The 24,083-nt window shown below is 38.2% G+C and overlaps 1 protein-coding gene across 6 annotated transcripts in view; it reads right to left on the reverse strand.

Annotated features, from left to right (window-relative positions):
- The window catches only part of EPS15 (epidermal growth factor receptor pathway substrate 15), a 165,004-nt gene that overhangs the window by 109,380 nt on the left and 31,541 nt on the right, over positions 1-24,083 (reverse strand). For all 6 annotated transcript variants that reach the window (XM_017000618.3, NM_001410796.1, XM_017000617.3 and 3 more), the window contains exons 2-7: positions 17,631-17,672; positions 9,217-9,306; positions 8,048-8,095; positions 4,831-4,926; positions 1,619-1,684; positions 31-156 (exon numbers count right to left, since the gene is read on the reverse strand). In XM_017000618.3, the coding sequence (XP_016856107.1) occupies positions 31-156; positions 1,619-1,684; positions 4,831-4,926; positions 8,048-8,095; positions 9,217-9,306; positions 17,631-17,672 (468 nt within the window). The remainder of the gene's footprint in view (positions 1-30; positions 157-1,618; positions 1,685-4,830; positions 4,927-8,047; positions 8,096-9,216; positions 9,307-17,630; positions 17,673-24,083) is intronic.

Here is a 24,083-nt window from a genome sequence, read left to right on the forward strand (position 1 = left end):
AATTACATTTCGGAGTAAATAATATCTTACTCTTCCAAGGATATCCACAGGTAACTTAGAGTTGAGCAACACTGGTTTCACTTTATCACCAGACAGAAATCCATTCACTGGGCTTAAACTATCAAATATTGCATCATATTTGGCCTTATCTTCAGGCTACAATAAAAAACAAAATCACAAGTTAAATAATAAGAGAAAAGGATTTAACTGCAGTTATAAAAATCAAGTCCTTAAAGAATAGACTACATATGTTTTTAAACTATCATTTAAAAAACATTTTTCACTTTCATCAAAATATAATATTCATTGTAAAGATACGCAAGAAAAAAATACATAGGAAATAATAATTTCAAAGTGACTTTACCCAAGAGTCTGGTGTTGCCCATTCTTTTTGTAGCTGGAACACCATCTTTATTTTCCAACTATTGGGTTAGAATCAAAATATTTCAGAGGTAGAAGGGCTTTGAAGAACATCTAGTCCAACCCTCTCACTTAAATAGACCCAGAGCAAAAAAGTAACTTTTATAAGAACACACAGCTAATTAGTGACATTCCATGACTCTCTAAAGATGGTATGAGGTGCAGTTCAAATAAATAAAATTTTTTTTTTTTTTTGAGACGGAGTCTTGCACTGTCGCCCAGGCTGGAGTGCAGTGGCACAATCTCAGCTCACTGTAGCCTCCACCTCCCGGGTTCAAGCGATTCTCCTGCCTCAGCCTCCCGAGTAGCTGGGATTATAGGCGCCTGCCACCACACCCAGCTAATTTTCTTGTACTTTTAGTAGACACGGGGTTTCACTATGTTGGCCAGGCTGGTCTCGAACTCCTGACCTCATGATCTGCCCGCCTCACCCTCCCAAAGTGCTGGGATTACAGGCATGAGCCACAAATAAATTTTTAAAAATAAAATAATTACTAAAGGAATAAACATCAAGATTTCTCCATTTTTCCCAAAGCAATATTTCTTTTTCTTGTCAATAACAAGATATCTCCTAAATTTTTAAAAGTTATTAGTGTAACATGAAAAACTATTGTTCATTATTTGCCCAGTCAAGGCCATATTCCCACACTTTTAAAACTTAGTGCCCAGTCCACAGCATACAAAGACATACAAATAAAAATGGTTTTCAAAAAAACTGTACACATTTATCAAAGCTCATTTGATCTGCTATAGTCTAAGCATTTTTAAATTACAAGTTTTATAGTACGATATGATGTGGCTCTGAAAAACTATAATGCAAAATACCTATTTCTAAAAAGATTTCATAAAGAATTGTTTGTTTTAGAGTCATCTAGAAAATACATAGTTAACCAGAATTTTCAAGTAAGAGATAACACCAGTGGGGTAAACTATCTTTTAATCAAATATTTTAGTTAATACAAGATTATGACATCACCATTTTTCTTTACATTATAACAGATATACAAGTAGACCGATACTGTCACAAAACAACTGACAGAGCCGAAAGATCCCTCAGAAACACCAGTAACAGCTTCTCCCCTACCTTTCCCTAAACATGTATGAAAGTCTAATGAAGATAGCAATATATTTCAGAGGTAGAGAGAGAGTAGATAGGAAGCAATGAAGGGGTGAGAGAATAGTTACAAAGTTTACTTACTTTTACAGCCCATGGGAGCTCAGCTGCAGAGGTTCCACTGATTAGCAAAGGACTACTGGTATCATGCTATAGAAGAAAGTAAAGCACAACAAGAGTTGAAATTCTCACATCAAGAAGCAATGAAGAAAAAATGGTTTTTGGATTTAAATATGTTCACACAAAATGCTGGATCTCAATGCACACAGGACACTATTTTACATTTACTAGACCATCTAAATAACAATGAAACAAAGTGATTATAATACCATATTTTTACTGTACCTTTTCTGGTTTTTGTTTTATTTTGTTTTTGAGATGGAGTCTTGCTCTGTCGCCCAGGCTGGAGTGCAGTGGCATGATTTCGGCTCACTGCAACCTCCATCTCCTGGGTTCAAGCGATTCTCCTGCCTCAGCCTCCGAGTAGCTGGGATTACAGGAATGCACCACCACACCCAGCTAATTTTTGTATTTTTAGTTGAGATGGGATTTCACCATGTTAAGCAATGCATGACTGTAATGCACGTAGGCAACAAATCCCTAAATTAACCTTCTGACTACATGCCTAAACATAAAAGTGCAGAAATTCTCTAAACTTAAGAAATTAAATTATTAGTATGCAGACCAAAAACTTCTAAAATGTTGAGTTTAAAAACAAGCAACTAGTTACTGGGGAGGATCACTTGAGCCCAGTTCAAGGTGACAGTGAGCTATGATCGCAGCACTGTATTCCAACCTGGGAAACAGAATGAGGCCATCTCTTAAAATTTAAAAAAACAAAAAACAAGAGGAGCCATAAAATATCTGGGGAAAAAAAGGAGTGAGGTGGGGAGGACTAGCATACTAGATTTAAAAAACATGTCACCAAATATGATAATTAAAACAATGTAACATCAGCATATGGTATGGATAAATAGATCAATAGGTAAGAACAAAAAAAATCGAGTAAGCAATCAAAATACATATGAGAATTTAGCACACAACTGAGATGGCATTTCAAAGGGAATGAAGAGACAGGAAGTGAAGGATGGATTATTTAATAAACTGTATTGACTATACTTTCTGTAGGGTAGCCATCTTGAAAAAATATAAAGTTGAATCTAGGCTAGGTGTGGTGGCTCACGTCTGTAATCCCAGAACTTTGGGAGGTCAAGGTGGGCAGATCACCTGAGGTCAGGAGTTCGAGACCAGCCTGGCCAACATGGTGAAAAACCATCTCTACCACCAAAAAAAAAATTTAGCCGGGTGTGGTGGTGGGTGCCTGTAATCCCAGCTACTCAGGAGGCTAAGGCAGGAGAATCACTTGAACCTAGGGGGTGGAGGTTGCAGAGAGCTGAGATTGCACCACTACACTCCAGCCTGGTTGACAAGAGCGAAACTCCCTCTCAAAAAAAAATAAATAAATAAATAAAAATAAAATCTGTACTCACATCCTAGATCAATACTAACTTAAATGTAAAAAATTAAAAAAAATTTAACCTGACAATTTATTTACACAAAAGACAATAATAAGCCAGGCTCAGTAGTACATGCCAATTGTCCCAGCTATTTGGGAGGCTAAGGCAGAAGTATCACTTGTGCCCAGGAATTCAAGGCTAGCCTTGGCAACATAGCAAGATTCTGTCTCTTCAAAAAAAATAAGACAAATGACAAAATAGGAAAAAAAGACTTGCAACTCATACAGACAAAGAGTTAATGTCCTAATAATTAAAGAGGCCCTAGAATTCAATAAGTAAAAGAGCAACAACCAAGAAAAATGGGCAAAAGCTATAAACAGACATTCACATAAAGGCAATGTAAACATAAGAAAAGCTTATAAGAAAGCTATTCTTATTAGCACAAGAAAAGCTATTCAACCTCACTCCATAAAACCAAAAGGATAAATTTAAAATTACATACTGTCACCTATCAAACCGCAAAGATCTAAAAGTTTAACCAAAGTATGCTAGCCAAAGTGTACAGAAACAGGCACTCAAACAATTGCTGGAGGGAGGGTGAACTAGTACAACCACTATGGAAAGCAAGTTGACAAAATACATAGAAATTACAAAGGCAAAAACTTTTGAACAGCATTTCTACTTTTGGAAATTAACACATATAAATACATTCCTGCACATGCAAAATAACATATGTCCAAGTTTATTATTCATTGCAGCATTTTTTTAATAATGAAAGATTCAAAATAAACTAAAAGCCTATCAATAGAAAGTTAATTATCATAAACATAAGCAAAGAAATACTACACAGCTATAAAAAACAAAGTGGAAGCTTCTATGTAATGATATATAAATACCTCTAAAACTTAATAAGCTACTTATAAAAGGTATAGAATTATGTGCATAGCAGGAGTCCCCAATCCCTGGGCCACAAACTGGTACCCATCCATGGCCTGTTAGGAACTGAGCTGTATAGCAGGAGGTGAGCAGCTGGCAGGCAAGCATTATGGCCTGAGCTCCAACTTTTGCCAGATCAGCGGTGGCATTAGATTCTCATGGGAGCACGAACCCTATCATGAACTGCGCATGTGAGGGATCTAGGTTGCATGCTACTTATAAGAATCTAATGCCTGATGATGTGGAACAGTTTCGTTCTGAAACCATCCATCCCTCCCAGGTCCATGGAAAAATTGTCTTCCATGAAACCGGTCCCTGGTGCCAAAAAGGTTGGGGACCGTTAATATATAGCATGCTACAATTAAAGTAAAATAAGAAAATAAGTATTTATATATATATATTTTTTTAAGACAGGGTCTTAAACCATCAACCAAGCTGGAGAGCAACGGTGTGATCACGGCTCATTGCAGCCTTGAGCTCCCAGGCTCAAATGATCCTCCCATCTCAGCCTCCCAAGTAGCTGGGACCAGACGTGCACACCAACACACTCGGCTAAATTTTAGATTTTTTTGTAGAGATGGGGGTCTCGCTTTGTTTCCCAGCCAGTCTTGAACTCCTGGGTTCAAATGATCCTCCCACTTCTGCCTCCCAAAGTGTTGGGATTACAGGCGTGAGCAACCTCACCCAGCCTATAGTTTCTCACATATACATATATAATCACTCTGGAAGGATACACAAGAAATTAACTAAAAACAGCAGGAGCCAGTAGGGGGAAAAAAGCCAAGTAGCTGAGTGAAAGGGCCAAAGGGAGAATTCCTTTTAATATATTACTTTTAATTTTCAAATAACGTGGTGTCACTTTTTAAAAATTAAATACAATTTAAATCTAAAAGCATTTCTTACAAATCTTGGTGGAGGAACAGCCAGGTTCAAACTACTTAGTGAAACTTCCAATCCATTCTGGGCACATGCCACAAGACGCAAAGCAACAAAGAATTCCTAAGAAAGAAAAGTATGAATGTTAAGAGCATTCTCCCTCTACCAACTTACCTACCTGCACAAATACTTACAATCTAAAAATATAAAACAATTCATAATTACTACAGAGGTCTTATGTAGCAACAAGTAGCATATTTGCTTCAAAAATATCTTGCAGAAAAATCCTATGTAGAAAGATGTTCCTAGTATTTATGAATCGCTAATAATAACATAAATGGGAAAATACATACAGATAGTGGAAATCATACAGAATACTCATGTTTAAAATAATACTTAGGGCCAGGCACAGTGGCTCACACCTGTAAGCTCAACATTTTGGGAGGCCGAGACGGGCAGATCACTTGAGGTCAGGAGTATGAGACCAACCTGGCCAACACGGAGAAACCCCGTCTCTCTACTAAAAACACAAAAATTAGCCAGGTGTGGTGGCGTGCACCTGTAGTCCCAACTACTCAGGAGGCTGAGGCAGCAGAATCACTTGAACATGGAAGGCAGAGGTTGCAGTGAGCCGAGATCGGGCTACTGCGCTCTAGCCTGGGTGACAGAGCGAGACTGTCTCAAAAAAACAGACAAACCAAAAAAAAACAAATAATATTTAATGATATTAAGAGATGTATTTTATCATTTAAATGAGAAAAAAAGAATTAGAGAAAAATCCCAAAAGAAAATAATACCTAAAATGTTATGAAAAGTCATCTCTGGATTGTGAGATTATAAATTTTGAAACTGGAACAGTAATTCAAATGACTTAATGACTGCAATTCCAGAAAAACTACAGAAAATAACTGTGCAACATCAAAAAAAATTATGTAACGGTTTAACTTCAAAATAATTATAAATCTCTCCCAAAAGTCCTTGGATTTTTAGCAGTTGAAGTCTTAGTCCAAAACTTAATAAATAAATGCAAAGAAGCTGAAGCAACTGGTTTTCAGCTGTTTTGAGTTAGTGTCATAGACATGATAACAAAAGCCTTTACTCCAGCTACAATTTGTCCAACCTGTCAATACCCTAGTATAGTCGCTGATGTAATCAACCCTTCACTACTTCTCTGAAATCCCGTACTCTCCCCCATACCCTTCATACCCAATTCATAACCCATTCTTATCACCTTGCAGACTGTCTGCTTTATACAATCCCTTGCCTTCACTCATTTCTTGAAAAAATGCTATTTCAAGATATCCCATTTTCTTCTCATTCATTCCACAACCTTCTGTGCAATGTGACTTCAACTCCCATGATTAGCTAGAAAAACTACCGCCTATGTCACAGATAATCTCCTAGCTACCAAATAGAATAGCCTTAAAAAAAAAAAAGCCTCATACTGCTTATTCTTTTTGCAGCCTGGGAAAGTATCTTCCTGGAAGCTCTCCTCCACCAAACAGCTTCACAAAACCCTCCTAGTTCTCTTCTGACCTTTTAGGTCTCTTCTGTTGGAGTCAATGTCTTCCCTAACTGCTAGTATTCTAAGTATTCTAACATGACCCTCTTTCTTTTCTCACTCTATTTGAGATTCAATTACTCTTAGGTAATCAAGTCTATTACCACAGTATGGATGGGCTATGAAGTGAAATAATTCTGCATTAAATTCTATTTCTGCTACTTATAGTTGTGAGGCCAAGGGCAAGTTAAAACCCTTCCATAATAGGGGGGCTAATACCTACCTTGCAATGTATTATGAGCAACAAAATAAAAACCATGCTGCAGGAGGAAAGTGCCTACTGTCATTTTTGTCACATGGAAATTCATTAAGTATTGGTTTCTTTTCTTTCATTCATATGCTAACTTAAAAATCTGGGCCAGGCACGGTGGCTCACGCCTGTAATCCCAGCACTTTGGGAGGCCGAGGTGGGTGGATCACTCGAGGTCAGGAGTTCAAGACCAGCCTGGCCAATATAGTGAAACCCCATCTCTACTAAAAATACAAAAAAACTAGCCAGGTGCGGAGGCATATGCCTGTAATCCCAGCTACTCCAGAGGCTGAGATGGGAGAATTGCTTGAATCCCGGAGGCAGAGGTTGCAGTGAGCCAAGATCACGCCACTGTACTCCAGCCTGGGTAACAGATCAGGGCTCTGTCTCAAAAAAAAAAAAAAAAAAAAAAAATCTATGCTTCCAAAGGAACTTCAAAGTTTAACTGCAGACTCATAAATCCAGCCACCTGGAAGTACTAAGGCAACTCAAACTCAATATCCAAAATCAAACAATTATAAGTAAAAAATTTATTATACTGTAAAACCTTAAGACAGTGACCACATCTATCATGTTAACCTCTGTATTTCTAAAGCCTGGCTCATCATAGGTACTCAACAAATATTTGCTGACTGACTACATGGCACCTAGGTGGGCCCCTATGAATTTTGTTTTCCTATACCTCCAATACACCAAAGTAGCCCTTCTACCCAGAGACATGAACAGGGACTACAATCTAGCCCCGAAATCTTAATTAAAAGACTGGATATTCTGACCCTCTCATCAAATTTCTCCAATATCTGGCTTTGATCCTGCTTCAGCTATGCCGGGGGTGGGGAGGAAGCCTAACTTTGAGTAGTGGCACTCAGCAAACTTGGAATTCAATCCTTATACAACTCTGAAATCCATCCCCAACAATCAGAACTTCAGAGTACACTGATGGTGTTCAACACCCTTGGCCATAACCACTTTTATGTATTCTGGTCAAGAATTTACTTCTGGTTTATAAATCATTTTTTGGTTTATATATCAGGAGTAAGATCTAGACCAGAATACTCACATCTCACATGTGATTAACCAAGAGTTTCCTTTCAAATCTTCAAATCTACTAGACAATACCATCTTAACACTTACTTAATAACATTCACTTTTACTTATAACCCTATGTAACTAGGAAAATTAATTAAAGAGCAAAGTCTCTCTGAAAGACAGAAAAATAAACTCCAGGAGAACAATGTCACCAAACTCACACTAACTGTTAAGACTTATATTAACATCTAGTGATTGGAAATACTTTGTTACACACTTGCCCTAGGCAAAACTCTAATGTTGGTAAAAACCAATTCTTGGCTTCAAAATACAAGAAAACCCTGCTGGCTATTTTTTATTTTGAATCACTCAAAAAAAAAATCATATGAATATCTGAAACTTACTTGTTTGTTCAGGATACCTTTGCCATCTGTGTCGGCTAAATCCCAAATCTGAAATTTAGGGGGAAAAAATATCAATGTATATTTTAAACAAAAGTCATCTGAATGATAAATTAAATCTCTGCTATTTACAACCTCAGGCTCTCTGGTAATCAGATCTAAGAATCATAGAATTAAGAGTGGAAAGAACCCTTAAAGATCATTTAGTGCAAACTTGTCCAACTTGCAGCCCACAGGCCACATGCAGCCCAGGACAGCTTTGCACGTGGCCCAACACAAATCCATAAACTTTCTTTAAGAAATTATGAGGGTTCTTTTATGATTTTTTTTTTTTTTGATCATCAGCTATCATTAGTGTTAATGTATTTTATGTGTGGCCCAAGACAATTCTTCTTCTTTCAATGTGGCCCACGGAAGCCAAAAGATTGGGCACCCCTGATTTAGTGCAACCCTTCACAAAGATACTAAGGCCCAATGAGGGTAAGTGACTTAGCTCAAGAACATTCAAGGCACCAGGGAAAGAAGTGAAGCCTAAGTTCTAACTTCCAGTCACATGCCTTTTTCATTAATCCAAGTTCTAACTCTGAGACCAATGCTCTTTCTACTAGAATGTACATACTATTCTTGATTTTGGATCCTTAAGATATTCTTTTCTATGTGCAAGTTGAGATGATTGATATTTGTGAATAATTAAATTATTGTGATTATTTTTCAGGATTCTGAATATATATCAATATCACATATAAGGAGTAGACAGGGGAGGGGCTTTCCACCTCTTTGTGCTCTTTTTAAAAAGCCTCTCATCCCCCAGTCTATTTACCACACATTAAACAGAGACAGTTATAACAGAGGAAGTAGGGATAGAGCCAAGTCTTTGAGTGTGTGGCAAGATTCCCAGTCTTCACTGTTTCTCCCCACCAAATGTACTTATTACTTCCTCATTTTATCCTATTAAAAAGTAGTTTGTTTCTAAAAATCTGAAAAACACCTTACTTTTCAAGAGGGTAAATCACTACGCTACAAATTCCCTTCATCCTACTATTAAAATGGCTTCTATGACTCGGTTCTAACTTCTAAATTTCTTGATGGCATCTTTCTAAATTTGCATCCAGTTCATCTATAGTACACATTCCTTACAAACTTATAATCTAGTTATAATGAACGAATACTACCTTTCCAAGTATCAAGTCTGGAAGCCCTGATTTTTTCAGGAAAGCAGCAGCATCAGAAGCCAACACCCTTCCAGTATTGCCTGTATCAACCTGAAAAGATACAAATCCGTAAGTTGACAACAAAATACAAAAGGCAAAATTATCACCATTTACCTGCCTTCCATCCCTGTGATTTGGGACCTGGCTTTTGCAAGAAAGGAATGAGAATCCTTTGACTACCATGGGCCAAAGAATATGTGGACAGACATATGAGTAGTACTATCTAGACAGCACTGGCAATTTACAAAGTGGTTTTTGTTTTATCATGCCCTACCATACAAATGAGAAAAGTGAAGCTCAGAGGATTGTCAAAGCAAATTCGTGGGGTTGTAACATCAACACATATCTTCTATAGCTGTCATTTAAATTCCAATTAAATGGCACTAGGAAGAAAGGAGCAGCATTTCCTACAGAGGTCTTCTGACAAATGGGAATAGTTGCACATGTTATGTGCCTCTTCAAACATCTTTCAATCATCAACTTTCACTTTTATACCTACTCTTAGGAACTGCAGCACTTTAAAACAAATCAAAGCAATAGCAGCTCTAAAACCAGCAGTGATTCCAAAATAAACTTGAAGAAACCTTTTTAAAGCTGTTAAGTTCCTAAAACATATTAGGGAACATACCATTTTAACTGACCAGGGACTTTCCTTTAAGACAGAATGAGGTCACAAGAACAGAAACAAACAAACAAACAAACAACAACAACAACAAAAACAGGAAAAAAAAGACTCATTTTTGTAAAGATTTCCTAAAGTTCCATTTGTAAAAATGAAAAGTACATTTTAAAAAGTCATGGGAAAGGTAACAGGATAATAGTATATTTGTGAGATATCTGTTTTTCCAGTTTAGTTAAAAGATTAAGTTTACTGTAAACATATACTGTACAAAGCATTCTAGACAGTCCAATCCTAGCAAAGAAGCAAAAGGGAAAACCTTTCTTTCAAGTGGTACAACATGGGAAAAATCATGCACTCAGCAAAAAAGAAAAACATGGCCTAATCCTTCAAATTTGGAATAAGAGGAAGTATAAGGATTGGGAAACCTGCCTGTAGAATTCTTCAGAACTCCTTTTCTTTGCCTACTTCCTGATCAGCATACAAAACAAATATCCATACCCAACACAGCCTACTAAATATAGAAGCATTCAGGGGAAACATTGATCAAACTCTTATGAAATCATTATGTACTGTATCCCAATTAAGAATTTTACTATCTTCCATTCTTTTGGTTACCCTAATAATATAAACATTTAGTCTTTGTCATCTACAGGCAGTTTCTGAGGTATTCTGCTGCTTGCCTAAAGGCTCTGCCATAGGCAAAGCCAGAAGCTATAGGCCAGAAGCTGATATATCTTCAACAAAGAGTCTTAGAGCCTCATGAAAATGACTATACTTTTGATATAGTCTGTATCTATAAGACATACATAGTCTGAATTATTAACATTTCAAAAAGTGGATTTTTGGATAAAGACTACTCAGCTGACATCACACTACTTTCAGACCATATTGGTAGATGAAGTCAGGATTTCCAGGACTCTTTTCAGTCTGAAAGAAGATGTACTTCATAAAAGCAGACTTCTAATCCGAGATTCAGCTGAACAAGAATTACACAGGACTGAATGAACTGTTGAGGAAAATTTAATTATAGTTATTTACTTGGAATACTGTTGGTATTATTTTAATGTTCTATTTTCTAATAGCTATGTGCATAAGCCCTTTCTGAGACCCTCAACTTAGTAGCCTCTGCTTTTGTAAACCAAATGAAATAGTTTTCTTTTTTTATTATTATTATTATTATACTTTAAGTTCTAGGGTACATGTGCACAACATGCAGGTTTGTTACATATGTATACATGTGCCATGCTGGTGTGCTGCACCCATTAACTCGTCATTTACATTAGGTATATCTCCTAATGCTATCCCTCCCCCCTCCCCCCAACCCACAAAAGGCCACGGTGTGTGATGTTCCCCACCCTGTGTCCAAGTGTTTTCATTGTTCAATTCCCACCTATGAGTGAGAACATGCGGTGTTTGGTTTTTTGTCCTTGCGATAGTTTGCTCAGAATGATGGTTTCCAGCTTCATCCACATCCCTACAAAGGACATGAACTCATCCTTCTTTATGGCTGCATAGTATTCCATGTTGTATAAGTGCCACATTTTCTTAATCCAGTCTATCATTGATGGACATTTGGGTTGGTTCCAAGTCTTTGCTACTGTGAATAGTGCCGCAATAAACATATGTGTGCATGTGTCTTTATAGCAGCATGATTTATAATCCTTTGGGTATATACTCAGTAATGGGACGGCTGGGTCAAATGGTATTTCTAGTTCTAGATCCTTGAGGAATCGCCACACTGTCTTCCACAATGGTTGAATTAGTTTACACTCCCATCAACAGTGTAAAAGTGTTCCTATTTCTCCACATCCTCTCTAACATCTGTTTCCTGACTTTTTAATGATCGCCATTCTAACTGGTGTGAGATGGTATCTCACTGTGGGTTTTATTTGCATTTCTCTGATGACCAGTGATGACAAGCATTTTTTCACGTGCCTGTTGGCTGCATAAATATCTTCTTTTGAGAAGTGTCTGTTCATATCCTTCGCCTACTTTTTGATGGGGTTGTTTGATTTCTTCTGGTAAATTTGTCTAAGTTCTTTGTAGATTCTGGATATTAGCCCTTTGTCAGATGGGTAGATTGTAAAAATTTTCTCCCATCCTGTAGGTTGCCTGTTCACTCTGATTGTAGTTTCTTTTGCTGTGTGGAAGCTCTCTAGTTTAATTAGATACCATTTATCAATTTTGACTTTTGTTGCCATTGCTGTTGGTGTTTTAGTCATGAAGTTCTTGCCCATGCCTATGGCCTGAATGGTATTGCCTAGGTTTTCTTCTAGGGTTTTTATGGGTTTTAGGTCTAACATTTAAGTCTTTAATCCATCTTGAAATAATTTTTGTAGAAGGTGTAAGGAACGGATCCAGTTTCAGCTTTCTACATATGGCTAGCCAGTTTTCCCAGCACCATTTATTAAATAGGGAATCCTTTCCCCATTTCTTGTTTTTGTCAGGTTTGTCAAAGATCAGATGACTGTAGATGTGTGGTATTATTTCTGAGGGCTCTGCTCTGTTCCATTGGTCTATATCTCTGTTTTGGTACTAGTCCCATGCTGTTTTGGTTACTGCAGCCTTGTAGCATAGTTTGAAGTCAGGTAGTGTAATGCCTCCAGCTTTGTTCTTTTTGCTTAGGATTGTCTTGGCAATGTGGGCTCATTTTTGAGCCAATGTGGAACCATTTTTGGTTCCATATGAACTTTAAAGTAGTTTTTTTCCAATTCTGTGAAGAAAGTCATTGGTAGCTTGATGGGGATGGCACTGAATCTAAATTACCTTGGGCAGTATGGCCATTTTCATGATATTGATTCTTCCTATCCATGAGTATGGAATGTTCTTCCATTTGTTTGTGTCCTCTTTTATTTCGCTGAGCAGTGGCTTATACTTCTCCTTGAAGAGGTCCTTCACCCTCTTGGGAGCGTGTATGTGTTGAGGAATTTACCCATTTCTTCTAGATTTTCTAGTTTATTTGCATAGAGGTGTTTATAGTAGTCTCTGATGGTATTTTGTATTTCTGTGGGATCAGTGGTGATATTCCCTTTATCATTTTTTATTGCGTCTATTTGATCCTTCTCTCTTTTCTTCTTTATTAGTCTTGCTAGCGGTCTATCAATTTTGTTGATCTTTTCAAAAAACCAGCTCCTGGATTCATTGATTTTTTGAAGGGTTTTTTGTGTCTCTATTTTCTTCAGTTCTGCTCTGATCTTAGTTATTTCTCATTGGTTCCATTTATATGCTGGATTATGTTTATTGATTGCATATGTTGAACCAGCCTTGCATCCCAGGGATGAAACCCATTTGATCATGGTGGATAAGCTTTATGATGTGCTGCTGGATTCGGTTTGCCAGTATTTTATTGAGGATTTTTGCATGGATGTTCATCAGGGATATTGGTCTAAAATTCTCTTTTTTTGTTGTGTCTCTGCCAGGTTTTGGTATCAGGATGATGCTGGCCTCATAAAATGAGTTAGGGAGGATTCCCTCTTTTTCTATTGATTGGAATAGTTTCAGAAAGAATGGTACCAGCTCCTCTTTGTACCTCTGGTAGAATTCGGTTGTGAATCCATCTGGTCCTGGACTTTTTTTGGTTGGTAAGCTATTAATTATCGCCTCAATTTCAGAGCCTGTTATTGGTCTATTCAGAGATACAACTTCTTCCTGGTTTAGTCTTGGGAGGGTGTAGTGTCCAGGAATTTATCCATTTCTTCTAGATTTTCTAGTTTATTTGCATAGAGGTGTTTATAGTAGTCTCTGATGGTAGTTTGTATTTCTGTGGGATCGGTGGTGGTATCCCCTTTATCATTTTTTATTGTGTCTATTTGATTCTTCTCTCTCTGCTTCTTTATTAGTTTTGCTAGTGGTCTATCAATTTTGTTGATCTTTTCAAAAAACCAGCTTCTGGATTCCCTGATTTTTTGAAGGGTTTTTTGTGTCTCTATTTCCTTCAGTTCTGCTCTCATCTTAGTTATTTCTTGCCTTCTGCTAGCTTTTGAATGTGCTGGCTCTTGCTTCTCTAGTTCTTTTAATTGTGATGTTAGGTTGTCAATTTTAGATCTTTCCTGCTTTCTCTTGTGGGCATTTAGTGCTATAAACTTTCCTCTACACACTGCTTTGAATGTGTCCCAGAGGTTCTGGTATGTTGTGTCTTTGTTCTCGTTGGTTTCAAAGAACATCTTTATTTCTGCCTTCATTTCATTATGTACCCAGTAGTCATTCAGGAGCAGGTTGTTCAGTTGCCATGTAGTTGAGTGGTTTTGAGTGAGTTTCTTAATCCTGAATTCTAGTTTGATTGCACTGTGGTCTGAGAGACAGTTTGTTATAATTTCTGTTCTTTTACATTTGCTGAGGAGTGCTTTACTTCCAACTATGTGGTCAATTTTGGAATAGGTGTGGTGTGGTGCTGAAAATAATGTATATTCTGTTGATTTGGGGTGGAGAGTTCTGTAGAGGTCTATTAGGTCCGGTTGGTGCAGAGCTGAGTTCAATTCCTGGATATCCTTGTTAACTGTCTGTCTCACTGATCTGACTAATGTTGACAGTGTGGTGTTAAAGTCTCCCATTATTACTGTGTGGGAGTCTAAGTCTCTTTGTAGGTCTCTAAGGACTTGCTTTATGAATCTGGGTGCTCCTGTATTGGGTGTATATATATTTAGGATAGTTAGCTCTCCTTGTTGAATTGATCCCTTTACCATTATGTAATGGCCTTCTTTGTCTCTTTTGATCTTTGTTGGTTTAAAGTCTGTTTTATCAGACACTAGGATTGCAACCCCTGCTTTTTTTTTGTTTTCCATTTGCTTGGTAGATCTTCATCCATCCCTTTATTTTGAGCCTATGTGTGTCTCTGCACATGAGATGGGTCTCCTGAATACAGCACACTGATGGGTCTTGCCTCTTTATCCAGTTTGCCAGTCTGTGTCTTTTAATTGGAGCATTTAGCCCATTTACATTTAAGGTTAATATTGTTATGTGTGAATTTGATCCTGTCATTATGATGTTAGCTGGTTGTTTCGCTTGTTAGTTGATGCAGTTTCTTCCTAACCTTGATGGTCTTTACAATTTGGCATGTTTTTGCAGTGGCTGGTACCGGTTGTTCCTTTCCATGTTTAGTGCTTCCTTCAGGAGCTCTTGTAAGGCAGGCCTGGTGGTGACAAAATCTCTCAGCATTTGCTTGTCTGTAAAGTATTTTATTTCTCCTTCACTTATGAAGCTTAGTTTGGCTGGATATGAAATTCTGGGTTGAAAATTCTTTTCTTTAAGAATGTTGAACATTGGCCCCCACTCTCTTCTGGCTGGTAGAGTTTCTGCCAAGAGATCAGCTGTTAGTCTGATGGGCTTCCCTTTGTGGGTAACGCGACCTTTCTCTCTGGCTGCTCTTAACATTTTTTCCTTCATTTCAACTTTGGTGAATCTGACAATTATGTGGTCTTGGAGTTGCTCTTCTCGAGGAGTATCTTTGTGGCATTCTCTATATTTCCTGAATTTGAATGTTGGCCTGCCTTGCTAGGTTGGGTAAGTTCTCCTGGATAATATCCTGAAGAGTGTTTTCCAACTTGGTTCCGTTCTCCCCATCACTTTCAGGTACACCAATCAGACGTAGATTTGGTCTTTTTACATAGTCCCATATTTCTTGGAGGCTTTGTTCGTTTCCTTTTACTCTTTTTTCTCTAAACTTCTCTTCTCGCTTCATTTCATTCGAGCTTCAACCACTGATACCTTTTCTTCCACTTGATCGAATTGGCTACTGAAGCTTGTGCTTGCGTCACGTAGTTCTCGTGCCATGGTTTTCAGCTCCATCAGGTCATGTAAGGTCTTCTCTACGCTGTTTATTCTAATTAGCCATTCGTCTAATCTTTTTTCAAGGATTTTAGCTTCTTTGCAATGGGTTCGAACATCCTCCTTTAGCTCAGAGAAGTTTGTTATTACTGATCGTCTGAAGCCTAGTTCTGTCAGCTTGTCAAAGTCATTCTCCATCCAGCTTTGTTCCATTGCTGGCGAGGAGCTCTGTTCCTTTGGAGGAGAAGAGGTGCTCTGATTTTTAGAATTTTCAGCTTTTCTGCTCTGGTTTCTCCCCATCAATAGTATCTGATTCTCACTGACTCCTCAGAATTCAAAAACAAATACTTGTATGGAATGTTTTTACTCTTTATAGCAATATAGTTATTACATGGGTTCAATAGCAATTTGTTTTTCTTCTTAGGATGTAACTGGATAAGCCAATTGTGTAAAACAAGGCCATTATTTGAGAATGACTTCTTTTATTCAAACAAAACAAAGATTAAAGAACAAGCACTGACTTTATGTGGCACGAACATCACAAAGATCTCCCAAGAAAACTGGGCTGCTACCTGGTTTACAAGATCCTAGCCTCACGGGTAGTAAAGTAAGGTCACTTACCAGCAGGCTAGGAACCTTAGCAAATCTGGGAAACCTCAAGATGAGATAAATTCACTCATATTTATATGTAGTGAAGGTGAAATATGGTGGAGAGAATTTCTAAGGTTTGGAGCACAGCCTTAAGATAGAAGAACAAATGTAACAGGGGAATTAAAAAGTACAGTCTGAGATTCTTGATATTTTTCAGGCAGAAATTATTCTCTGACCTTAGAAGTTGCTATATAGTTTATAGCTCCTGATTTGCAAGTCAAAACCAAAGAGGCCTATAATGTTTAATTAATACTTGCTGCAACTATGTAAATAGCCAGGCCAAAAATAATGAAACCAGCCTTTTCTGTGATCATAATCATAAGGTAGTGAGACTGTTAGAAAAAATAATCTGACACTTGAAAATGGGCAAATAAGATTGTCTACACCTTCAAGAAATTATCGTCTGATCTATGGTATGCACCCTTGATGACTTTCTTCTGTCTAGACTACTTTATACTCGTAGAGGTAGAGGTTAATAGAAACTGATAGCGATGCAAGTGACTCCTGTCCATACCAACACAAATGAATATTGTCTGGTGAAGTATGTAAATCTCTGTAACTCATATTCCCATTTTTTTGTTGTTGTTTGTTTGTTTTTGAGATGGAGTTTCACTCTTTTTGCACAAGCTGGAGTGCAATGGCACGATCTTGGCTCACTGTAACCTCGCCTCCCAGGTTCAAGTGATTCTCCTGCCTTAGCCTCCCGAGTAGGTGGGATTAGAGGCATGCACCACCAAACCCAGCTAATTTTGTATTTTAGTAGAGACAGGGTTTCACCATGTTGGCCAGCCTGGTCTTGAACTCCTGACCTCAGGTAATCCGCCTGCCTCAGCCTCCCAAAGGGCTGGGATTACAGGTGTGAGCCACCACACCCGGCCATATTCCCATTTTTATATCTGACCAGAGGCTGTATATCTGTACTAATTAACCAGTAATTAATGAGTTGAATAAAATCTGATACATGCTCATTATGTATTTGTATAAAAGTCATGTTTTTCACTTTGTGAAAATTATACTTTAATAAGTCTTAAAAACAACATAGAAGTTATTTGTATTTGTCTTAAGAATTTGGAATATTTATATCTGGATAAATCTATCAAATGTATACATTTTCAACATAGATATTTAAGACAACTAAGTACTTGGACTTAATTATCTTTCCTTCATTTCTCTGGGATTGTCAAATGCATTAAGTACTCAAAGTGGAGGCTGTAAACAAGATGTTGAAAACAAGACACATCAAATTTATCGAGCTAGCTGGTAATCTACAGGCATACAATCAAGAGTTGACAGTACATTTAATGTTCAATCCAGGCAAACAATGAAACAAAAATCTTACCTGTCTATAGTATTTTTCATATACAGGATTCCCACTTGATAACTGAAATAAACACATTAATAAAAATTAGATGCTATTCATTAACTTCTATTAACATATTTGGCATTCATTCAACAGATATTTGAGAAACAAAGATGAATAAGATAAAATATCCTTGATTTCAGGGGTTAGATTTTGTTTCTTCTTGGGGAGCGTGAGACAGAGAATAGATAAAGATAGTCACATGGGTTACTAAGAATCAGGTAGACAAGAAATGAAACAAGAATCTTAAATTTTGTTTTTGACATCAAAACTCCTCTTCATCTAATATTTTACCCAGAAACCCAATATGTAACAAATTGAGAATGAAATGCTTTCTCTAAAGCCAGTTGAGAGGCCCAAATCCCCAAGAATTCATCCTCTACCCAAGTACCCAAAGTACCTATGAATACATTTCAAAAACCACTTCAATAAAACAATTAAATGAATATACAAACTGACATACAGAAAGGTAGTGATGTCATCAGATATAAACTGCTTGCAGAAAGGCAGTTCCATTAAATTCACACTACAGTTCAAAGAGTTCCTTGGTCAGCTTATGAACAGACTCATCTGAAATTCAATGTTTGAAGGATCGACTGGGTGCAGTGGCTCACACCAGTAATCTCAGCACTTTGGGAGGCTGAGGCAGGAGGACTGCTTGAACCCAAGAGTTTGAGACCAGCCTGGGCATCACAGTGAGACCTCGTCTTTACAAATAATTTAAAAATTGGCCAGGTGTGGTGGCACATGCCTGTAGTCCCAGCTACTTGGGAGGCTGAGGTGGGAGAACTGCCTCAGCCCAGGCAGTTGTGGCTGCGGTGAGCTGTGACTCTGTGACTGTACTCAAGTCTGGTTAACAGACTGAGACCCTGTCTCAAAAAAGAAAAAAAAGGTTTGAAGGATCAAGTTTGCCTCCATATGAATGTGTAAGAGTGTTCTGGGATCAGGATGGGAATCCAGGAAGGCTTCATGGGGTGACATCAGAGCAGGAACTTGAGGTATGGGGAAGATGGGGAGAGGGTGATTCTACACAGAGATAGCAGTATGCACAAAGGCATGCGATCAACAGAAAACTCAGTTATGTCTAAAAAGAACAGCAAGAAGTTCTGAACGATAAGAGGGATAGGGAGATAAGATTATAAAATTTTGTAGAAGACAACTTATGAAGGGTTTCATCTGCCATTGTAGAGTAAAAAAAAATGAAGTCGCCCAGGCTGGAGTACAGTGGCGTGGCACGATCTAGGCTCACTGCAACCTCCGCCTCCCAGGTTCAAGTGATTCTCCTGCCTCAGCCTCCCAAGTAGCAGCATTACAGGCGTGCACCACCATGCCTGGCTAATTTTTGTATTTTTAGTAGAGATGGGGTTTCGCCATGTTGTCTAGGCTGGTCTCGAACTCCTGATCTCAAGTGATCCACCCGTTGTGGCTTCCCAAAGTGCTGGGATTACAAGCATGAGCCACCACACCCGGCCTTAGGAAGTAATTTTAATGGTCTGGTTGAGGGGCTGAACATTGACAATGGCAGAAGAGAAGGGTATGGCTTGAAAAAAAGTTTGTAACATAGATTTGACAGGACTTATTAAGTGGGTGAGGGGGAAGGAAAGCATAATTTTAAAAATACATAAAATGTGTACACACACACACAGTAGTTTCCCCTTATCCACAGTTTCACTTTCCACAGTTTTAGTTACCCTCAGTTGCTCGCCGTCAGAGTATTAAATGAAAAATTCCAGAAATAAACATTTCATAACTTTTAAATTGTAAACCATTCCAAGTAGCATGATGAAATCTCATGCCATCCCACCCAGGACGTGAATCCCTTTGTCCAGGGCATCTACTCTGTATATGGTACCTGCCCATTAGTCACTTAGTAGCCGACTCAGTTATCAGGCTGACAGATCACAAAAAGGATGAGTATAATACAATAAGATATGTTGAGAGAGAGAGAAACCACATTCACATAAATTTTATTACAGCATATTGTTATAATTGTACTATTTCACTATTAGTTTTGTTGTTAATCTTACTGTGCCTAATTTATAAATTAAACTTTATCACAGGTATGACATACACACAGATATATATATTCGAACTCAAGACTGCAAGTGTGTGTGTGTGTGTGTGTGTGTGTGTGTGTGTGTGTGTGTCTCATACTGGTTCAGTTTTTCTGGAGAACCCTAATACATCCAGTCTCAGAGAGGTTACCTCTCCAGGCCTTTAAAAGGCAGAGTCAGCCAGGCACGGTGGCATGTGCCTGTAATCCCAGCACTTTGGGAGGCCAAGGTGGGCGGATCACGAGGTCAGGAGATCAAGACCATCTTGGCCAACATGGTGAAAGCCCGTCTCTACAAAAATACAAAAAATTAGCTGGACAGGGTGGTGCATGCCTATAATCCCAGCTACGTGGAAGGCTGAGGCAGGGGAATTGCTTGAACCCGGGAGGTGGAGGTTGCAGTGAGCTGAAATCACGCCACTGCACTCCAGCCTAGCAAAAGAGCAAGACTCCACCTAAAAAAAAAAAAGGCAGAGTCAGACGGATGTGGTGGTTCATGCCTGTAATCCCAGGAGGGGATTTGGGAAGCTATTGGGGGAGGATTGCTTCAATCTAAGAGTTTGAGATCAGCCTGGGCAATGTAGAGAAACACCATCTCCACCAAAAATGCAAAAATTAGCCGGGCATAGTGGCATGCATCTATAGTGTCAGCTACTCAGGAGGCTGAGGCAGGAGGATTGGTTGAGCCACGGAGGTCAAAGCTACAGTGACCTGTGATTGTGCCACTGCACTCTAGCCTGGGCAACAGAGTGAGACCCTGTCTCTCAAAAAAAAGTCAGAGTCAGGACTTAGGTGTCCTGCTCCCAGCTCTGTGTTGCTTCCCATATGCCCTGGTATGCCCAGGAAAATCTTGATTTACCGTCATTGTCCCAGCATCCCATTCAGCTTAACATATGTCTCCGATTTCCCATTTTTAAAAAGAAACTATTATTGGGCCAGGTGTAGTCGCTCGCGCCTGTAATCTCAGCACTTTGGGAGGCCGAGGCAGGAGGACTGCTTGAAACCAGGAGTTTGAGACCAATCTAGGCAACACAGCGAGATCTTGTCTCCATTTAAAAAAATTTTTTAAATAAAAAATTAAATTAAATTTTAAATTTTAAAAAAACTATTATCAATCATTATATCAAAATACACTAAAACCAGAATGGATTTTGTATCTCTACTGTGTATATCTAGTTTCTGGCCAAGTTATCAACTAGTAGTCTATAAGTGCTTTCACCACATAAACAAGTGATGAAATCTGGAAGAGAACTAGTGATAATTCCATCTTTCTTGTTCTGATTCTTTACAGATTCAACAAAACAACTTCTTTGCAAGGGGAGTGCATAGACTTACTGAAAAGTATCCTCAGACTTAAGCAACCATGGGCAATTAACTCTGTATGGTCTTGCAAAATATTAGGAGAAATATTTGACACTGGTGCTCCTGTTGGTTACCTGGTATGCCAGGCAGTGCAGTGGCATGTACAGTGACCACAAGACACACTAGGCCACCAGCTGGCTATGTCAGTGGGAAATTGCAGGTTGGGTGCAAATGAAGTATGTGCAAAGTCAATAGTATGAAAACTCTTAGATGGTTTTGTCATTTATTGTATTGTACAAGTCTACAACTGTTTATTTATTTTGTTGTTTGGTAACCATTTTATTATTTCATAAGCCTTTTCAGGAGCAATGAGCTATAAAGACATCACTGTATCCAATAAAAACTAAGCTCTAAATTTTCATTTCTCCAGAAAATAGATGGGCAGACAATTTGCAGAGAACCACTGAGGCAGTTTCTATTTATCATGGAGCTCTAGTGACATCACTATTAATGAGTCAGCTTCAAACGTCAACATTTATAAATGTTTTCATATTCCCACTGTTAAATTTTTAAGGATAAGACTGATACTGAATACAATAAAATAGTGCAACAGAGCAATATGTGTATTCTCCTTGCAACCTGTCATCGGACTTCCGAGGCTAGTACTTTCAAAAAACTACTTTATAAATCCAATCAATGTCTCAATAGTGAGTCTTTTTAAAAATAAGTCCTCTAGAAATTGGTTGCATACTGTTCAAAATCAGTTGGAAACCTTTAATCAAAAGTAAAGTTTAGTGAGCTGGGCATGATGGCGCACACCTGTAGTCCCAGCTATTTGGGAGGCTGGGATGGGAGGATCACTTGAGCCCAGGAATTCATGACCAACCTGGGCAACACAGTGAGACATCATCTCCTTAAAAAAACAAACAAACAAACAAAAACAAGTTTAATGAATAAAGCTCCAGAAAACCTTCAGCTTTTGAAGCTTTTAGCAAATACCAATTATTATCAACAAAGTTTGCCAAGACACTGAAATATATCCTTCAAAAGCAAGGAAGAACCGAACAAATTAAATGAGAGTTCAAATAGTACACGAGATTTCATTTTGAAATTTTATCATTATATTTTGGAATGAATTTTAGAAGTTCCATCGAGGGTCTTTTTTTTGAGATGGAGTTCGCTCTTGTCGCCCAGGGTGGAGTGCAATGGCACTATCTTGGCCCACTGCAACCTCTGCCTCCCAGGTTCAAGCGATTCTCATGCCTCAGCCTCCCAAGTAGCTGGGATTACAGGTGCCCGCCACCACATCCAGCTAATTTTTGTATTTTTAGTAGAGATGGGGTTTCGCCATGTTGGCCAGGTTGGTCTTGAACTACTGACCTCAGGTGATCCACCCACCTCAGCCTCCCAAAGTGCTGGGATTACAGGTGTGAGCCACCATGCGCAGTCGAGTCTTTCTATTTTTAAGTAGGTGAAAGAAAATTACAGGCCAGGCACAGTGGCTCATGCCTGTAATCTCAACACTTTGGGAGGCCAAGGCGGGTGGATCACCTGAGGTCAGGAGTTCGAGACCAGCCTGGCCAATATGGCAACACCTCGTCTCTACTAAAAATACAAAAAAAAAAAAATAGCTGGACATGGTGGCGGGCACCTGTAATCCCAGCTACTAGGAAGGCTGAGGCAGCAGAATTGCTTTAAGCCAGGAGGCAGAGGTTGCAGTGAGCTGAGACTGTGCCATTGCACTCCAGCCTGGGCTACAAGAGCGAGACTGCATCTCAAAAAAAAAAAAAAAAAAAAAATTAGAGAAGGCCTACAATTTTGCAACACTTAAATCTGGTGGAACATATAAAATAATCATAAATAGGGACAACTTATTTGTATCAAAGACAGTACCTTGTGACTAGATTGGACAATATAGGGAGATCCTGTCTCTATAAAAAATGAAAAGTAAAAACAGAGATTACCTTTAATACAGGCAAAAGGACACTGCCTGTGAAAATACTGAGACTGATATATTTATAATTTTCTTTTCTTTTTTTTCTTTTTTGAGACAGAGTTTTGCTCTTGTTACCCAGGCTGGAGTACAGTGGCATGATCTCCACTCACTGCAACCTCTGCCTCCCAGGGTCAAGTGATTCTCCTCCCTCAGCCTCCCGCCACCACACCTGGCTAATTTTTGTGTGTGTGTGTGTGTATTTTTAGTAGAGACGGGGGCTTCATCACGTTGGCCAGGCTAGTCTTGAACTCCTGACCTCAGGTGATCCATCTGCCTCGGCCTCCGAAAATGCTGGGATTACAGGCATAAGCCACTGCGCCCAGCCTATAATTTTCAATAAGAAAAAAATTAGAATTAAGAATATTCTCCATCTAGCAAAATTTTTCCTGAGCTAACTGGGGACAGCAGCACATATAAAGTATGTTAGCAACTAAAAACATTATTGGTTATAGTGAAGCATCAACTGTAGAAGTTAACAACCACAAGTATAAAATGTAACTCTGCAAAATACTGCAATTTTATGAAAAAATTAAAACTAGTAAAACCAGATGGAAAATCATATTCAGAAAAGTATCAGTGACACAGTATTAGTGACAGATTTGACCGAGAAACTGATAAAAATATTTATTACCAAAAATAGTTTGTTTTTAAATATTCAACTGAAGTCCATGTTAAAAACTTTGTTATAATGTACAACAAAATGTTTTAGAAATTGTTTTTGAAAACAGACTTTAAATGGAGCTATTTTATTGATCTACTAATGCAATAAAAACTATTTTAATGGTTGAAAAAAGTAAATATTCCAAAAATATATAGAATTTTAAATATTTGTAGTACCCCCTTTCATTCTCAAAAATGTACCAGTTTGAATGAAAAATTATATAGTCATCTACTTAGTTATGACAACAGTATAAATACTTTGCCAAAGACAGCAAATTAAATATGTTCCCTCAATAATAAAAAGTTAATTTTAATTGGATTTTTTGAATACAGGGAAAAAAAACCTCATACACAGTAAGAAATCCTGATCTCCAACCTGTGCCTTAATAATCCTCACATTACAGGTTCATTGGTTACTACC

The sequence above is a fragment of the Homo sapiens genome, chromosome 1 (assembly GCF_000001405.40).
Source record: "Homo sapiens chromosome 1, GRCh38.p14 Primary Assembly".
NCBI classification, from domain to species: Eukaryota; Metazoa; Chordata; class Mammalia; order Primates; family Hominidae; genus Homo; species Homo sapiens.